At 42.3% G+C, this 18160-nt stretch overlaps 1 protein-coding gene across 3 annotated transcripts in view; it reads right to left on the bottom strand.

Annotated features, from left to right (window-relative positions):
* Window positions 1-18160, bottom strand: part of SCN11A (sodium voltage-gated channel alpha subunit 11) — a 206181-nt gene that overhangs the window by 111840 nt on the left and 76181 nt on the right. The window contains exons 3-4 of one of the 3 annotated variants that reach the window (XM_047447378.1): window positions 3182-3244; window positions 2680-2820 (exon numbers count right to left, since the gene is read on the bottom strand). In XM_047447378.1, the coding sequence (XP_047303334.1) occupies window positions 2680-2820; window positions 3182-3226 (186 nt within the window). In that variant the 5' untranslated portion in view covers window positions 3227-3244. Of the gene's footprint in view, window positions 1-2679; window positions 2821-3181; window positions 3245-18160 lie in introns of those variants that run through there. The other 2 variants (NM_001349253.2, XM_017005650.2) reach the window with 2 other exon arrangements.

The following is an 18160-nucleotide window of genomic DNA, read 5'->3' on the forward strand; positions in this document are numbered from 1 at the left end:
GGGCCAGTCTTGCAGGGTGGCCAGGGCTACCTGTCACAGGGAACTCTGCAACTGCTCTTCTGTAGACTGGCCCACTCCTGCCGAATAGACAGAAAGCAAACACTCACCTAGGAGAGAGGACTAAGGCCTCACTTTCCAAAGCTGCAAGCTTTATAGAAGCACTTAGGCCTGACCTCCCATGGTTCATTCATTCATGTGCTGGGCACTGGGGATGCAAAGGGATATAAAGCACCAGCCTTCCAGGGTCTTCCAATCTGTGGAGACCAGGTGAAGAAATGACGGAGGATGAAACCATGCCATGTGTACGTCTGCACCAGAGGCAATTGTTGGGTGCTGTGGGAGCCCTGAGTGGGGCATGGTGACGAGGAATCAGAAGTCATTTAGCTGGGAGGAGGGAGGGAGGTGGCCTGGACAATAGGCAACGTAGTGTGAAAGCACTGAGGGCTGCACACGGACTCCTGGCTCTTATTTATGAATTCGCCTGTAGTTATAAAAGTCACATAGCCTCACTGTGCCCTCCAGCTCACTCTCCATCCTTCCCCACTCTGCTCAGTGATGCAAAGCTGACCCACATGTAGCCCCCCATGGGATCTCTCACACTCTGGCTTATGGCTGGGTTTGGTTGGTGAGAGGTATCCAGCAAGTGACCCGGAATATGATGGGAGAGTGAGGGCAGGGATTTCTCTTCCAGCTTTCCCCTGATGGTGGCCATGGGCCACAGTGCCTGTGAGGTGCCCATCTACAGGGCTCGCACCTCCCTTCCCTTGCCTCTTCTGATGTGGGGTGTAATGGCACCTCACTCTCACCAACCTGAGAAATGCACCATCACCTGCTTCTGTTATGGTACTCTGCCCACACCTTTGTAAAAAGTCCCTTTAATAAAATATCCTCACAATGTCCAATTTGAGCTTGCCATCTGTTTCCTGCTGGGGCCCTGGCTGATAGAGTCATTCACTAAATACAATTTAGAAATCAGGAAAAGGAAATTATTACCCACAAGCCATAGCCATCTAATATGTACAAGTTTTAACATTTTAGTGTATCTCTTTGCAGTAGTCTTTTTGTCCATATATTTCATATGACTGTCATTGTCCTGTATAACAATTTTAAATGGTGACTTTTTCACTAAACCCTATAACAAGAACATTTTCATAAAGAAAGCTACCATTTCATAGTGTCTATGCTGTTCCAGGTGAAATTTGGAGTGTGTTAACTAACATACATTATCTCATTTAACCCTCAAAACAATTTTATGAGATATATATTATTCTTGGGGATATCTGAAAGAAATGTTCATCTAGAATGAAGGTGGATTATTTATGGCCTTCTCTTTAAGGTCAGAGGCTTTAACCTTATACCTTCCTTGCCTGGTGTTTCTAGCTTTCTCTTTTGGCAAAGAGCAAACTGATACTGTGATTCTCATACTTTATCCTAACCAGTAAGGGAAATCGCAAGATGTTTCCAACTGCTCACCTGGAACATTTCAGCATAGATCTGGTCCACACAATCTGGAATGCCAGAGGTCCACACTGAGGTTAATAAGAATTATGAATTATGGGCTAAACAAAGGGGCAAATGCTTTAAATGGATTATCTTTCAGAATTTCCCCCAGAAATCTACAAGGTGGGCATGATTACATCATCCCCATTTTGCAGAAGACATTAGGTCTTACAGAAATTGAGAAAACTTGCTTATGATCACATAAGTAAGTGCTGGAAAATCTCAAGCCGAAACAATTCCATTCCAGGCCTTATACTCTTAGCCACCATGCAATTCCTCCTACGTGCCTAGTTCTTCTTACTTAAAACTAAGATATCCCCAAGGAGATGGGAGAAAGGAGTCAAGAGGAGAAAGCCTCACAAGCTTCCAACTGGGCTGGTATGCGTCTATGGCAGCCTCACTGTGTGTGATGTGGCCTCCCAGGACCTCAACCCACTGCCACCTCCTCATTCACATGTCAGTCCTACGGGCATTCCACTGGCCTCACCATGACACTCTCATCCACCACCCAAGTCAGACAGCTTAATGGTAGACATGCCCTACAGAAAACCTCCTCATTCATTTTAGGTGTAACCTGAACAAGTTCTTAACTTTGGTGACACATAATCCATATTTATTAACGTAAGTTACAAAAAAAAGATATCTCTTTCCCTCTTCATAGATCCCATAAGAAAATCAGAAAGCAAACGAACATGATCAGAGTTTAATGAAATTGATCTCAATTCAAAGTCAATCCCAAGATTAGTTTGCTAGCTCTTCAGTAAAGAAATCATGCATGTCAATTTCTGATTAAATAAATTGGCCACGGGGAATTCAGAAAATATTTGGAGGATTTTTACCATCGCCTCAGTTGGAGACAAGATTTGAGATGACCTTTTCTAGCAAGGTCCAATTGCTGGCACAAAGTCCAGGGTTGCAAGCGCCTATTAGGCCAGCTGGCCATCTCCTGTCCCTGTGAGCCCATGACCTCTCAGTGTATTTGACAGCAGGGAGAACAACCCGATGGACTCCACCAGCTGAGCCATATATCTCGTACCCGCTCTCTGCTTCTAATTTGATCAGAAAATAATCACAAAAGGCCTGTACTCTACCCTGATGAGAAAAACAAACCAAGTTCCAGGTGGCAGGTCCCAGACTTGAAAGAACAGAACAGGCCTGCACCCGGCCCAGAGGACTTACCTGACTTCTTGGTAAGGTGGCTCCAGACAGCAATCCCAGCGATACTTCTTGAAGCTCTCCACAGAGCAAGTCTCTCAGCAGAGTTCGAGCTTCTGCTCCTGGCAGCTGCCTGGAGCCCTTCTGGGAGGAGCGGCTTGGAGGCTGGGTGGAGAGTGTGGAGGAAGGCAAATGGGAAGAAAGCCAAAGTGATTTTAAAGAATTGTGTAGGAAACCCTGTAACCGGAGAAGTGACTGAGAGGGTACTTACATTTATACTTTGGAAGCATCTGCCTTTAATCAGTGCTTAATCTAACTCTGCAGAAAGCATCATTAATAAAGAAACAGGTTGTTGTTTTTTTTTCTGTGGCCTGATCCAAGTGGGTGAGGGAATACAGAAAAGTCTGTGTGAAAAGCCAGGTTGTGCTTCCGCATTAAGCTTAAGCTGCAGGCCTCCTAACCCAGTGTTCTGGGGTCTCACCCCCCACAGGACCCACTGAGGCCCACACAACATGGAATTGCTTACAGGGTGTCCATTTGGCATCTCCTCCTTTCTCTTCTCTTGTGCCATTAACCTTGGGGTTCAGACCTAGAAAAATATTGATAACATGCATGCTTATGTGGTGGCCATAGGGATGCCAAGAGAACTTTTGGTCATCCAGACAACTCTGCAGCAGACTGTCACCAACCCAAAACTCCCCCAAGTAAGCTCTTAGTGTTTTTTTTGTTGTTTGTTTGTTTGCTTTTTATTCCTGGGGAAAATTTAAGTCTCCCTGGAAAGTATCACACCATAAGCTATTGTCACCTTCAGGAGACTAGCTGACAGTCAGCTGAGATAAAGGGTACAGGGTGAGTGTTTACAAGGAAGTAGGTGCTTACGGGAGTGCAGGATGGGAAACAGGAAATTTTGGTCCTGCCACAAGGGGCGCTGAATACTGGTTTCGGCTCCACCACTTCTCAGCTGCATGTTATTGGAAAGATCACTTAGTTTCCTGAGCCTTAGTTTTCTCCATGTTAAATATGATAATTCTTTCAAATCTTTTTACTGTTAAGAAGCAAATGTGATAATAGCTCTAAAAACACTCAGCAAACACTAAATCGAAGTATCTGTGGATTTTTAAGAGGAAAAATGCCTGGTTGCTTTTCTCCCCCTACTAAGCCAACACCCAGGTCCTCTGGAGAGGAATTGAAACCACAGACGTGGGATCAGCCCCTGGCCTGGCATGGAGCATATGGCTTGGGTTTTTGAAGCAGGAATCAAAAATTCTAAGCCCTTGCCTGGTTTCACAGTGACTCCCAGAATAAGAGAAGACCAAAGAATAAGAGAGGTACTTAGAGTTAATAAGCACTTTTTACATAAATGCAACGTGTGTGTTTGAAAAGGTAAGAGGACTCCGAATCCATTATCTTAAAGAGCCCTGGCCTTTTGAAATGTAGACTCTTTAAAAAAATTATTTTTCTGATAGGATTGTTTGGGTTTTTTTTGTTACTGATTTGTTTGAGTTCTTTGTAGATTCTGGATATTAGACCTTTGTCAAATGTATAGATGGTGAAGATTTTCTCCCACTCTGTGGGTTGTCTGTTTACTCTGCTGAAAAGCTCTTTAGTTTAATTAGGTCCCAGCTATTTATCTTTGTTTTTATTGCATTTGCTTTTGGGTTTTTGGTCATGAAATTCTTGCCTAAGCCAATGTCTAGAAGGGATTTTCCAACGTTGTCTTCTAGAATTTTTATAGTTTCAGGCCTTAGGTTTAAGTCTTTAATCCATCTTGAGTTGATTTTTGCATAAGGCAAGAGATGAGGATCAAGTTTCACTCTTCTATATGTGGCTTGCCAATTATCCCAGCACCATTTGTTGAAAAGGCTGTCCTTTCCCCACTTTATGTTTTTGTTTGCTTTGTTGAAGATCAGTTGGCTGTAAGTATTTGGGTTTATTTCTGGGCTCTCTATTCTGTTCCATAGGTATATGTGCTTATTTTTATAGCAGTACCACACTGTTTTGGTGACTATGGCCCTATAGTATAATTTGAAATCAGGTAGTGTGACGCCTCCAGATTTGTTGTTTTTTCTTAGTGTTGCTTTGGCTGTGTGGGCTCTTTTTTGGATCCATATGGATTTTAGAATTGTTTTTTCTAATTCTGTGAAGAATGATGGTGATATTTTGATGGGGATTGTGTTGAATTTGTAGATTGCTTTTGGCAGTATGGTCATTTTCACAATATTGATTCTACCCATCCATGAGCATGGGATGTGTTTCCATTTGTTTGTGTCATCTATGATTTCTTTCAATTCCATCAAAAAGTGGGCTAAGGGCTGGATGCGTTGGCTCACACCTGTAATCCTAGCACTTTGGGAGGCTGAGGCTGATGGATCACCTGAAGTCAGGAGTTCAAGACCTTGGCCAACATGACAAAACCCCATCTCTACAAAAAACACAAAAATTAGCTGGGCATGGTGGTGGGCGCCTATAATCCCAGCTACTCAGGAGGCTGAGGCAGAAGAATCACTTGAACCCAGGGAGCGGAGGTTGCAGTGAGCAGATATCATGCCACTTCACTCAAGCCTGGGCAAAAGAGTGAAACTCCGTCTAAAAATAAAAAATAAAATAATAATAATAATAATAATAGTGGGCTAAGGACATGAATAGACAATTCTCAAAAGATATACAAATGGCCAACAAACGTGAAAAAATGCTCAACATCACTAATGATCAGAAAAAAGCAAATCAAAACTACAATGTGATACAACCTTACTCCTGCAAGAATGGCCATAATTAAAAAATCAAAAAACAGTAGATGTTGGCGTGGATGCAGTGAACAGGGAATGCTTCTACACTGCTGGTGGGAATGTAAACTAGTACAGCCACTGTGGAAAACAGTGTGGAAATTCCTTAAAGAACTAAAAGTAGAACTACTATTTGATCTAGCAATCTCACTATTGAGTATCTACCCAGAGGAAAAGAAGTCTTTATTAAAAAAAAAAATAATCTGTACATCCATGTTTGTAGTAGCACAATTCACAACTGCAAAATCATGGAAACAACCTAAATGCCCATCAATCAATAAGTGGATAAAGAAACTATATCTATTTGATGGATATATATATATATATATATATATATATATATATGATGGAGATATATATATATATATATATATATGATGGAGATATATATATATATATATATGATGGAGATATATATATATATATGATGGAGATATATATATATGATGGAGATATATATATATATGATGGAGATACATATATATAATGGAACACTATGCAGACATAAAAAGGAATGAATTAACAGCTTTTGCAGTGACCTGGATAAGATTGGAGGCTATTATTCAAGTGAAGTAACTCAGGAATTGAAAACTGAACATCGTATGTTCTCACCGATATGTGGGAGTAAGCTATGAGGATGCAAAGGCATAAGAATGATACAATGACTTCGGGGAGTCGGGGGGAAGAGTGGGAGAGAGGCAAGGGATTAAAAAACTACTAATATGGTACAGTGTAGACTGCTCGGGTGATATGTGTACCAAAATCTCACAAATCACCACTTAAGAACTTACTCATGTAACCAAATACCACCTGTACCCCAATAACTTACAGAAAAATTTTAAAAAATTAAACAATTTTTTCTGAACAATTAAGTCACATTTAAGTCACATTCAGACTTCCTGAAGTTTCAAAGAATCTTTCTAGCTTCATCTTTAAGGTAAATGCAAATGATTCCAAGTGTAAAGACTTAAGTGACAAAGAATAATACACACACAGGTCACTTGAGTGGAGTTTGCATTCAGGACTTTTCTGTCCTGTGGGAAATTAAAACATGTGTCTGACAAATGGAGCAGAGCACCTGTGCTGGGTCCACATTGTAAGAGGATGTCAACAACAGACACGTTCAGAGGCGCCCCACATTTGCATCCTTGGAGCCACACAGCACATTGCCGTCCCTTGGTGATGGCAGGCAGCAAGACCCTGCCAGTCTCAGTTCTGCCGTCTGATGAGGAGTCTGGCTTCAGCATCAGTGGCCAGGTAAGGTGCATCAGCTTTAGCAGCAGCAACACCTCCCATCTGCTCATTTAGCAAAGATGACATTGAGCCGCCTCTACTGCAGAACACCATGCTGTATCCTGAAAACATTAAAACAAGACCTTAGGTCTTTAGGAGCATGCATCTGCTGCATGAGAAAGAACAGGTGTGCTGAGAAAGAACCATAAAAAAGCAAGAGATCATCAAGGAGCTGCAAGTAAGATACAGAGGCTTTCACAGAATGGGACAGGGAGCAACTCGTTCTGGTATGGCTTCCGAGAAGAGGTGAGATTTAAACTGAAGCATAGAGGATGACTAAGAACTCAACAGGTGGAGAAAGTGGGGATGGGCTTTCCATGAAAAGCAGGTGCAAGGGCACACAGGCTTGGAGGTACAAGCATGTGTAGACAACCTCTAGTGGTTTCATGGAGATGTGGTATTGCCAAAAGGAGGAGCATGGAAGAAGAGGAGGCAAAGTTGAAGGGATGCCTTGAATACCTCTTGCATACCACCAAGGAGTTCAAACCTAAATTTGTATTGATTCACACAGCAGGCATGATACTGGCACCGTCTCAAGCTCTCGATTACTTTAGGCATAACCACCAAGTCTTCTGTTTCCCTGATGTGGGCCACTGCTGACATCCATGCAAATAAGCAGATGTCAATGGACAACGTTCAGTGTAGGATGAGTGCCGCTTAGAAGAGTGAACAGCCAAAGTGAACAGAGCATTGTGTGGGGAAACTGAGAGTAAGCAAACCAAAAGAACTGGCTGTGACTGATTCTTCAGAGACAGCTCTGAGGAAGCACAGAATCCGTGGCTAGGAAGCACTTCCTCCAGGGTTCTAATGGAGACTCCTAGTAGATCCTTACAGAAAGCATACTCATTGAGAAGAGTTTCATGATCTTGTTCACTGCCGTGCCGTGATTAAAACAGTGCATGTCACTTAATAGGTGCTTAATAATTGTTTGTGAATAAATAAAATAACTGCTAACCTCCTCATAGTCCTTTCTGAGACCCAGCCCTGGCTCCTCAATCTTGTATGTCTGGTCCTGGGAAGGAGGCCCTGCCAGGCCCCTGTAAGACAACGTTTGTAAGGTCTGGTTTCTTCATTCCCATCTTTTGTTTCCAGCCAGCTTCGCCCAGTGCAAGCCCTTCTCACCTCTCATCTTGACCATCATGAAGGCCTTCACAATCGACAGTCTGCTCCAGTTTCCTCCTGGTAAGCTGTCCCTATCCTGACCACCCCTGTTCCAGCCACATCTTGCTCTTCTCTGTTCCCTGCCCTGACCAGACCTTGTGGCCACTCTGAGTCTTGCTAAAGTCGCAGTGCTCTCCTCTTGCCTTTCTTCTCACGCATTTCCCAATCTCTGAATTTCTGCTGCTTCTGTGAAGCCTTTCTTTTTCTTTTTTTTTCATATGACAAGGTGTTTATTGGAGTCTTAAGAATTGCAATTTGGAAGACACAGATTCGACTAGAAGTCAGCTTGTGTTCCAAAGAAAGGGAGGGGAGTATGCATTTTTAAAAGGAAGCCGAGGCCTGGGTATGGTGGTGCACACCTGCAATCCCAGCACTTCAGGAGGCTAAGGCAGGAGACTCATGGGAGCCCTGGAGGTGAAGGCTGCAGTGAGTTAGGATTGTGCCACTTTACACCACCTTAGGTGACAGAACAAGACCCTGTCCCTTAAAAAAAATTAAAAAAAAAAGAAGCTGAGGATGATTATGCAAGTTGTTTTGAAAAAATATATATCACTGGTAGAGGCAGCTGGCTTAGTACCTGAGATCATTGGTTGTTTCTGTTCAGAAGTTGCAGCGCTGGTGAAATTCAGCTGCTTTCCAGAACGTTGCCATCAAGGCTGTTTGGCCCAACCCAAAAATTCGAGGCAAGTTTCTGAGGGTTTTTGTTGTTGTTGTTTGCAAGGTTGCAGGTCGTCAGTCCTCCCTAGAATGGCTTCCTGACTTCACTTTAGAGATCTGAACCAGAGGGACATCATTTTGTGTATCAGTTTCACATAACAAAGGAAATTAACATTTGTTAATGTCATAGTTCATTATTATCATTATAGATCATTCATTCATTACAAAACAAATAAATTATGTAATTTGAGGTAGGAGTATTTTACAAAAAAAAGATGAAGCAAGGTAAGAGGAGAGAGTAGCAAGGATTGTACATTTTTATTGCTATACAATATTTTATCCATTTATGGGGTATATTTGATTTTGTTGCATGCATAGAATGTGTAGCAACCAAGTCAGGGTATCTGGGCCGGTATCCATCACCTTGAATATTTATTATTTGTATGTGTTGGGAACATTTCAAATTCTCTCTTCTAGCTGCTTTGAAATATAGAATACATTGTTGTTAACTACAGTCACCCTACTCTGCTGTTGAACATTAGAACTTATGCCTTCTACCTAACCGTATGTTTGTACCCACTGACCAATCTCTCTTCCTACCACTGCCCTCCACATCCTTCCCAGCCTCTGGTATCTATTATTCTCCTTGGCTTCTGTGAAGCCTTTCTTGACCATGTTTATGCAGTGCATTGCATACTTTCATGTTTCAAAATTATTTTAGACATTGCCTTTGTGTTTTGGTTTGGGTTCCCCCAGAAGCATTAGACAAGCACTCCAGTGTGGGAGTTTATTTGGAAAGTGATCTCAGGAAACAGGATTGAAGGAATGAGGAATGGAAAGCTGAGAAGGAGAAGCCAATAAAGGGTGTGCACTTGAGATGATTACTGATATGGCCAACTGTGGCTCAGCCTCTCTAGAGACTGTCTGAGGAACCACATAGAATGTACTTGAATATTAGGAGGCTGAAACATCTATCCTCTGGCTTACATTCCCTATTGTCAGAGATGCCATGGTAACCAGCCTCCAAGGCAGCCCAATGATCCGTATCTCCTGATTTTCACTTTCTTGTGTGGTTCTATCCCAAATTGAACAGGGCTGACGTGTGTAAACAATAGAATATTGGAGAAGTGACAATGTGTAATTCCTGAGGCTCAGTCATAAAGGGCATTGCAAGTTTTGTCTTGCTGTCTTGGATTGCTCACTCTGGAAGAAGCTAGTTGCCATGCTGTGAGGACACTCAATGAGCCCTACGGAGATTCCACGTGGGGAGCATCTGAGGCCTCTTGTCAATAGCCAGCACCAGCTTACCAGCCATATGAGTAAGTCATCTTGGAAGCAGACCCTCTATTTTCAGGAGTTCATTTCCCTCCCATCTCCAAATCCCTGGGCTATGCTTGTTTGTGGGCTGAGAGAGCTCCCATGGCTTTGGAGAAAGCACTGAGACAGAAAAGCCAAGTGAAGCAAGGCAGACTCTTGAGGTGGGATGCTGTCAGTATGCAAGGGAACTGTCCACCACAGCTTTAGCTGGAATCAGAGGTGGGCTGCTGGAATGTGGCAGGGAATACACAAGCACCTGCTAGACTGAGCAACTTCCTAAAAGATGATTCCTGCATATTCTTATTTCCCCTCCCCAGGGCTCATCAAAGGGCTACTCACACATGTCAGTATTCAGCAAAGGCATCAACGCCCAACTCATGAGAGCTCCTGCAACAGTGAAAATTGCTCCATCCTCTGACTTCCACTATTCATTCCTTGTACCTTTTCTAAGTATTTAGTTCACTCTGCTTCCAATTCTAATATACAGTATTGAGGATTCTTTTGGAACAGAATGCTAACCCTAGCTAGTATAAGCATAAAAGAAAGCTTGCTGGCAGAGAACAGGGGTGTCACACAGAATTCAAGGGGAGAGAAGCTTCTGACCCTCATGGAGTAGAACCGAAGAATGAAGACCTGTAGGAAATACAGGGAGGTCTGTGTCTCCTTGTCTCTTGCAGTTGTTGCTAGTCTACAGCCTCTTTGCTCTCCTTTCTCAGTGTTCACTGGTTTTCTCTGATCCTAGTACACCTGACAGAAAATGTTCACTCTCAACCACCATGTTTACATGCTGCTCTCTCTCATTCCCAGATACAAAATTCCTAGGGAAGGGACTGAGTGGCCCCACCTGGCTCAGGGGCCTGACTCTGAACCTCAACAGAGGCCAGAGAGATGGAGGTCAGGCAGCTGCCCCTGCCAACCTGGTGGACCAGGGAGAAGCAATCCCTAAAGAAAACCCTAATGGGGATAGCAACATTATAGCAATGTTTTAAAAATTAAATGAGGCAGTATGCCAAAACTTCCCTTCATACATTCTAAAATGTTATACAAAGGTCCAACTTTATTGTTATTTGGGAACCAGTGTAGTGTAGAGGGAAAACACACATGCCTCCCCCCAACACACATGTGCACACACACGTGCACACACACATATGCTTACACATGTGCACACGCATACATATATGCAAACACATGCACACAAGCACACACATACACACCCACACACGCACACACATACACACGTCAGAATCAAAGACCTGGCCTGAAGCCTACCTTGTTCTGCCACCTAATAGCTGTGTGATCTCCTTTTGAACTTTCTGAGCCTCAGTTTCTTCATCTAGAAAATGGCACTGATAACATCTACTACATAAAGTTTTCATGTATTTAAATGATCAGGAGTTAACACTTTATAAACTGTAAAGTACATGTGAAAATAAATGCATATGGTTGTGGTAATAGTATTTATATATGTGGTCTCCCACTAGCTACCATGTCCCTACCCCACACACAGATACAAATACATACACACTCCAATTCTTTATGCCCGTCACAGCCCCTACCTACCATATTTGAGCCCCAAGTAGTAGCTGCAGTGGCTTGCTGACTTATTTGTGCAGGAGGGTGCAGGGAAGAGGTGGTTGGAGGGAGGAAGGGAAGGAACAAGGCAGGCAGGCAGGCAGGCAGGCAGGCATGCTGCCAGACTGAGGCTAGGATAGGTGGCCAAGTCTACATGGAGGCCCAGCGAAGGGACTGGCTGGAAGTCAAAAAGGATATAATTAACTTAAGAATCACCATAAACTTGTTGCCACTCTTAATAGGCTTCAAATATTTTCTCAATTTACCCTGGCTTCATTCTTCTTGGTTTACCCTTACTGGGGAGGAAGGAGGAGAAAAATCTTAAAGGGGCAGCACCACCAAGCACATAAGAGGGATGAACAGGTCTAAGCTTTGAACAAAATCTCAGCGGCCTGCTGTGACATCAGCTGCCTGCACGGCCCCTCCTTAGGGAACACAGGGAGTGAGGGAGTTGAGTTGTAGTGACAGGAAGAAACACACATGCCTGACCTGGCTGTGAAGCTGCCATCCTTGACCCTGTGGTCTAGGGGCTGCAGTTTAGTGTTCTTTGAAGAGTCAAGGGAGGATTGCCTTGTGATGCTCCCTGTGTTTGGTCATTTCAGCTTGCTTTGTTTTTTCCTGACTAGGCAGAAAGTGCATGTTGGTATTTCTGGAACAAATTTAAAAGCTTCTGGAAACGAATTCACAATGTGCATAAGAAAAGAGACAGTGTCTGATAACCGAAGTTCAAGCTGAGAAGCAGCATGATTGGATATCACAGGATCAGCTCCTCACTCCACCTTAAGTTAACTGCTTAATGCCAAAGTCTAGTCTTAAGAAGGCTCAGTTCTCTCTCTAAAATTGAGAACACAAACCCCCCAATCTACCTCCCACATAAGGTGGCCCAATCAAAGCCTCCAGGCTTGCCTGCCCCTGTGGCCATCTTTTGAATGCTCCCTTTTATCTGCAGCGCAGATGTTAGCTGCCTGTTTCTCTGCTGTCACCTGTATCCACTCTTGCGGCCCCTGGCTTCTGGTCCCCCAAAGAGCCTGCTCTCAGGAAAGCATTAGTGAGCATCGTAGATCTCACCAGTGTTTCTGTAGGGGAGAGAGCGGAGGAGGGTTATACTGCACAGCCCATAGCAAGAGGGGGGATCTCTCTTGGCCTTCTAACCCTACTGGACCCTCGATTGGATCTATTCACCTCAATTTCCTGCCATCTTTCCTCTCAGGAATGAAACAGATTTCAATACTGTTTCCAATCTTAAAGATGCCACCCCCTGTAATTTTTTGCATGCATGCCCTTGGGATCTTACTCTCCATCTCATCAAGCAATTTACCTGAGTATTTCTTTGAAACAAATAATATGCCCTCTCCAAAATAAATTTTAGTAAAGAAATATGTCACCAGCTCATTAGATTGCCATAATTTGGAATTAAAGGTAACTTTCTCTTTTAGTTTGCTGTCAATTTTATATTTAATCTTAGAAATTAAAAATAGATACTAGAAATCTTAGTTAATTTTTTGGTTGAGGCCTGGCCTTTCAGACACTATTCAAGAGGCCTTGAGGTGAGTGTGTGTGCCTGCTCACAGATGTCTAGAGAGTCAGACCCTCAGGGTCCCTGCTTAGCTCACTCTCCTGGATCATCTGTGACCCATGCTCTGGGCAATCCAGATTGTTAGCCTCTAGGCTCCTTGGACACCAGCAAGACCCCTTCCCTATAACACCCCGCATGATGTTGCCTTCTGAGAAGAGGTCAGCACCATGGGCCGTGAGCACACCCTGACCATGAAGGCTTCATTGTGCCCCCAGAGCTTTGGGACTTTGCTCAAAAGGAGGGGCAGGTGTGGATGCTCTTTCAGCCCCTCTGAAAGCCCAGACTACCTGATCTCCCAATCCCTAGACCCATCTTCCTCCATCAGGGAGCTTAACAGGCTTTGAAGTAGAGGCAGAGCTGCTACCAGAGCCCCAGTGGAGGGTCCAGGGTCTCACAGCCTCAGCAACTCAAAGCTATAGATCCTGTTGCCGTGGCTCAAATCCAGAGACGTAAGTGTCTGATGTGTGTCCCTGAGAGCTCAGCTGTGCATTCACACTCACCCATACACTTACACACTCACATTTTTTCTTTTCTTTTTCTTGTTTTTTTTTTTAACAGACAAGGTCTCTGTCTGCCGCCCAGGTTGGAGCTCAGTGGCATAATCATAGCTCCCCGCAGCCTTGACCTCCTGGGCTCACATACACAGAGCTCAGCAGAAGAGACACGTGAAAGAAACAGACTCTAAAACCTAAAACGTCACTAAGGACACCACCTAATTTCTTCTGGATGGTTGGACTCCCTTTACCCTAGAGGTAAGGAAAGAGGCTCACAGGCCAGGTGATCCCAAAGTGGAGACAAAAGAGCAAGCAGGCAGGTAAAGGGCCTTACTAACTGAGCACTGGCCTGGCTAAGGCTCACCTCTCTGTCCTCATCTCCCCCGCACTCATGCCAGAGACTTATTCCCACAGCCATATCTGTGCTCCTGCTGGACCCCTGTATGAGATGCCCTCTTCTTTACTTCCTTTCCAAATCCACACCAACATTCAGAACTGGTTCAAGTCCTCTTCTTCCAGGGAGCTTTTCTCACTGCAAGATCTGACCTTTCTTGGCCCCCAGTAGCCCAGCCAATGACACTGACAAATACTATGTGCTCCTTCCTCCCCTCCCTGTTTCTTGGTGAATGAGCCTCATCTCCTGGGTGGGCTGAAAGCTGGTTCAGGGCAAAGACTATCCTACTCTCTGTATGTCTCAACACCCAGCCTGGAGTTCATGCTTATAAAGTAATATTCAATTCCTTATTAACTGGGACAAAAGATGTTGGATGGGAGAAGGCTCAGCTGCTTCCAGAAAGACACTTGTGCTTCAAAGCTTAAGGAAGGCAGGAGGCAGGAGGAAGGAGGGAGGCAGAGAGGTAGGGAGGGGGAAGAAGCACTCACTAAAAGCTTATGGAATACACAGAAGAGCTGAGCATCAGAACAAAGACTCATTTAAGAGGGCAAAGGAAACACTAGATGGCTGTTAATGGTGAACTGAATATGATAAATTATTTCTTAAATTACTTGGTTTCACTCCTTGTTGTTATGTACAGTTAATTGGAGGGAACAAAATCCTGCTGCAGAGAAGAGCTCAGAGCTGTGCCTGCCTGGATGGGGGAGTGATGGGGGAGCCTTGGAAGCCCCCTTACAGTCTCAGATTTTTCATTTCTCCAGGACCTCATAGCCATGATCAAGGGCTGACAAACCACCATTCACCCTCCAGCTTCCTCCGGTGACCCAGGTCCTTTTACCTATGCTCTGGTCCCCTAGCAGGCTTGGGTCATTGGCAGCCCAGGTAGCCCAAGGGAGAGAGAATCAGAGGTGAGCTGAGTGGCCAGAGGTCATCTAAAGGATTCCCCAGACTTTGAACACCAACCAGGCCCCAGCTGTCTCTCACCTGAAAGAAAGCTAGATGGCTTCAACAGCAGATTTCATCTCAGTTCAAAAACTTGGATTGTGACTCTTTTTTCCCTTATGTTTCATATATATGTATACACACACACACATACATATATATGTAAACACACACACACGCACACACTGAGACACACTGAGGTACACTGAGTTTTTACCAAATTTTAAAGCACTTAGTGGAGAAAGGGGTCAAAGGAGACATACAGAGTAAGACACAGTTTCTGCCTTCACTTACTTGGGAAGACAGATACAAGTAGATTGAATTTATTATGGGCTGCATAGAAAAAAAAAAGTCGTTCTAACACTTAATTTAACACAAAGAATCTGTTAGAGTTTGGAATTTTATTAATAATCCTGTGGCCAAAGGGAGAAGAGGCAGGCAAAGTGAGCCTGATAACATTGTCAGCAAAGGAAAGAAATTTAGGAACATGTAGAGCTGTGTGACGGACCAGGATTTCACACAAAATGTTTACATGAAAATTAATTAATGAGGCTTGGAGAGTTTTAGTTACATTATATAGGAGACAATATTAAAATGTTGAAGTCCACTTGTCTACAAGATAGTTTAATAATTACTATCAAAAGGCATTTTTATAATTATAGAAGTAGAAAAAAGAAAAGTTATAAGATGTAGCATAGGTGTAAGTTTGAAGACCATGTCACTTTTTCTAAACAATATTTAAATTTACATTTAATCTTATGTTTAGAAACTATTCTCAACCTTCAGTTTTATCACAAGAAAATGTTTTTAATTGCTATATTCGTTTGAATACACTTTTGAATAAATAAATATTATCTCAGGAGAAAAAGCTTTTTCACAAGTCTGTTAATTAGAGGCTCACTGTCTCTTCTTGCAGTCAGAAGTCAACAGTAACACCACATAAATGGTGTTGAGATACACACACACACACACACACACACATATAATTATATATAGCAAAATCAAAATGCTAACAAAGAAAGTAATATGAGATAATGGTTTTTATATTAAAAAACTGTGGTGCTTAAAGAAGAGCCTAGAATGACAGTTCTATCAGTATGGATAGTTAGATACCTTGAATAATTCTTGCTAGTAAAACAACTAAAATATTGGATAAAATATTAAAAGTTTAAAAATTAGAATATTTAAAAAGCTCTGATGATTTAAGCACTCTAAAGATAAATAGAAAACAGAAACCTCTGGATGGAAGAGAGTGTTGGAAGCAGCTTTGACCTGAAGGATCTGTGCCCCACCCTGAAGATCTTAGGCTTCCACTTGGATGACTGCACAAGGTTGAGGCAGGACAGAAAGCCTGGGGACCATCTAAAGTGGAATATTTTAAAGGAGTTTATTGTGTAAAGCTGGAGCACCAAAGGGCTCCACCTACAGTGTAAGGTGAACAAGAAATAAAATCTCTCTTTAGAAGGAGGCTGGCAGATGCCAACAGGAATTCTTTCTGAAGGGGTTGTACTGTGACCCAGACCTTAAGCAATTCCCACAAATAAGATTTTAGTAAAAATATCACCTTACAATCAAAGTCACAAAACATACAAGGAAATAAGTCATCATGAGTGAGAGCCAAAGTAATAGACAACACAAAGGCTTAGGAACTGGAATTAACAGATAGAAAATGTAAAAACTAATAGAAAAGCTGAAAAACATGAGGGTACAAGAGATCATAAAGAATAATCTTAGAAAATTTCAAAATTAAAGAAACAGTATTTCTAGAAATAAAAATAATTAGCAACTGGGATTTAGAAATGTAATGCACAAGTTAAACAGATTACACATATATGAAGAGAAAGTTAGTAAACTAAAAGGTAAATACAACAAAATTAAACCAAAATATGGCACAGGAATACAAAATGATGCAAAATAAGTAAGAAGGGTTGGGACATGGAGAATGAATTAAGAAGGCCTAATTCAAGGCCGGGCGCAGTGGCTCATGCCTATAATCCCAGCACTTTGGGAGGCCGAGGCGGGCAGATCACGAGGTCAGGAGATCGAGACCATCCTGGCTAACACGGTGAAACCCCGTCTCTACTAAAAATACAAAAAATTAGCCAGGCATGGCAGCAGGCGCCTGTAGTCCCAGCTACTCGGGAGGCTGAGGCAGGAGAATGGCGTGAACCTGGGAGGCGGAGGTTGCAGTGAGCCAAGATCGCGCCACTGCACTCCAGCCTGGGCAACAGAGTAAGACTCCGTCTCAAAAAAAAAAAAAAAAAAAGAAAAGAAAAGAAAAGAAAAGAAGGCCTAATTCAAGTCTAATTGAATTTCTAAAAGGAAACAATAGAAAAAAATAAAAACAATATTCGAAGTGTATTATAACAATGGAGAAATTTCCAGAATTATTAGGAAATGCCAATCTTTGAATCTAAAAAGCTCAATAAATCCAAAGTGAAATAATTTTTAAATCAATAACTACGTGCAAAATAGTGAAATTTTGAAACATCAAAGGCAACTAGATTCTGAAAGCTGCCATAGAGAAAATAAAGATCGTGTACCAATGAACGGCAATTTAATTCTTGGCTGATACCTCAATATCAATAAAAGAATACAGAAATCAGTAGAGTAAAATGTTCAATATATTGAGAGGAAAAAACCCAAAACTGTCAACTTAAACTTGTATGCTGATAAAAAACTATTTCAAAAAACGACAGTAAAATACAGACAATTTCAGACAAAAACTAAGAAAAATTTACCATTAAAAGATCCTCACTGAAGAAAATCCTAAAAAATATACTTCAAGCAGAAGAAAAATTCTTCCAAATGCCAAGTCTGAGACACATGAAGGGATGGTGAGTAAAAACGTAGGTGGATATGAATAGGAGGATACAGCTAAGCAAACTCTGACTCTGAAGTTAATAATAACATTAACAATAGTAATAATGTCTAATAGAATAATGTCTAATTCGAGGGGTGAGAAGGTAAGCTGGAAATAAAATATGGGATAACAAAAGCATCTAAGTTGAGAGAAGTTAACAAGAATTAAAGCATTCTCAGATCCTCGTACTGGTCTAATTCAGCAGGATTAATATTTGGATTGGTTTTGGTTTAGTGCAGGCATGTTAAAACACTTGCTCAACAAATTGTTCAACTTCTTTAGCAAGCTGAGCAAGTTGTTCAAGTGGACATAGAGTGGATAACTTTTTCCAAACAAGTCGAGAAGGAAATTTTAGTAAGAAAAGGAAAAGAAGTCAAGAATGAAGATTGTTAAACATTATGTAAAGTGACAATACAGTCACAAAAAGATAGATATTATATGATTACACTTATA

The sequence above is a fragment of the Homo sapiens genome, chromosome 3, assembly GCF_000001405.40.
Source record: "Homo sapiens chromosome 3, GRCh38.p14 Primary Assembly".
Classification (NCBI taxonomy): Eukaryota; Metazoa; Chordata; class Mammalia; order Primates; family Hominidae; genus Homo; species Homo sapiens.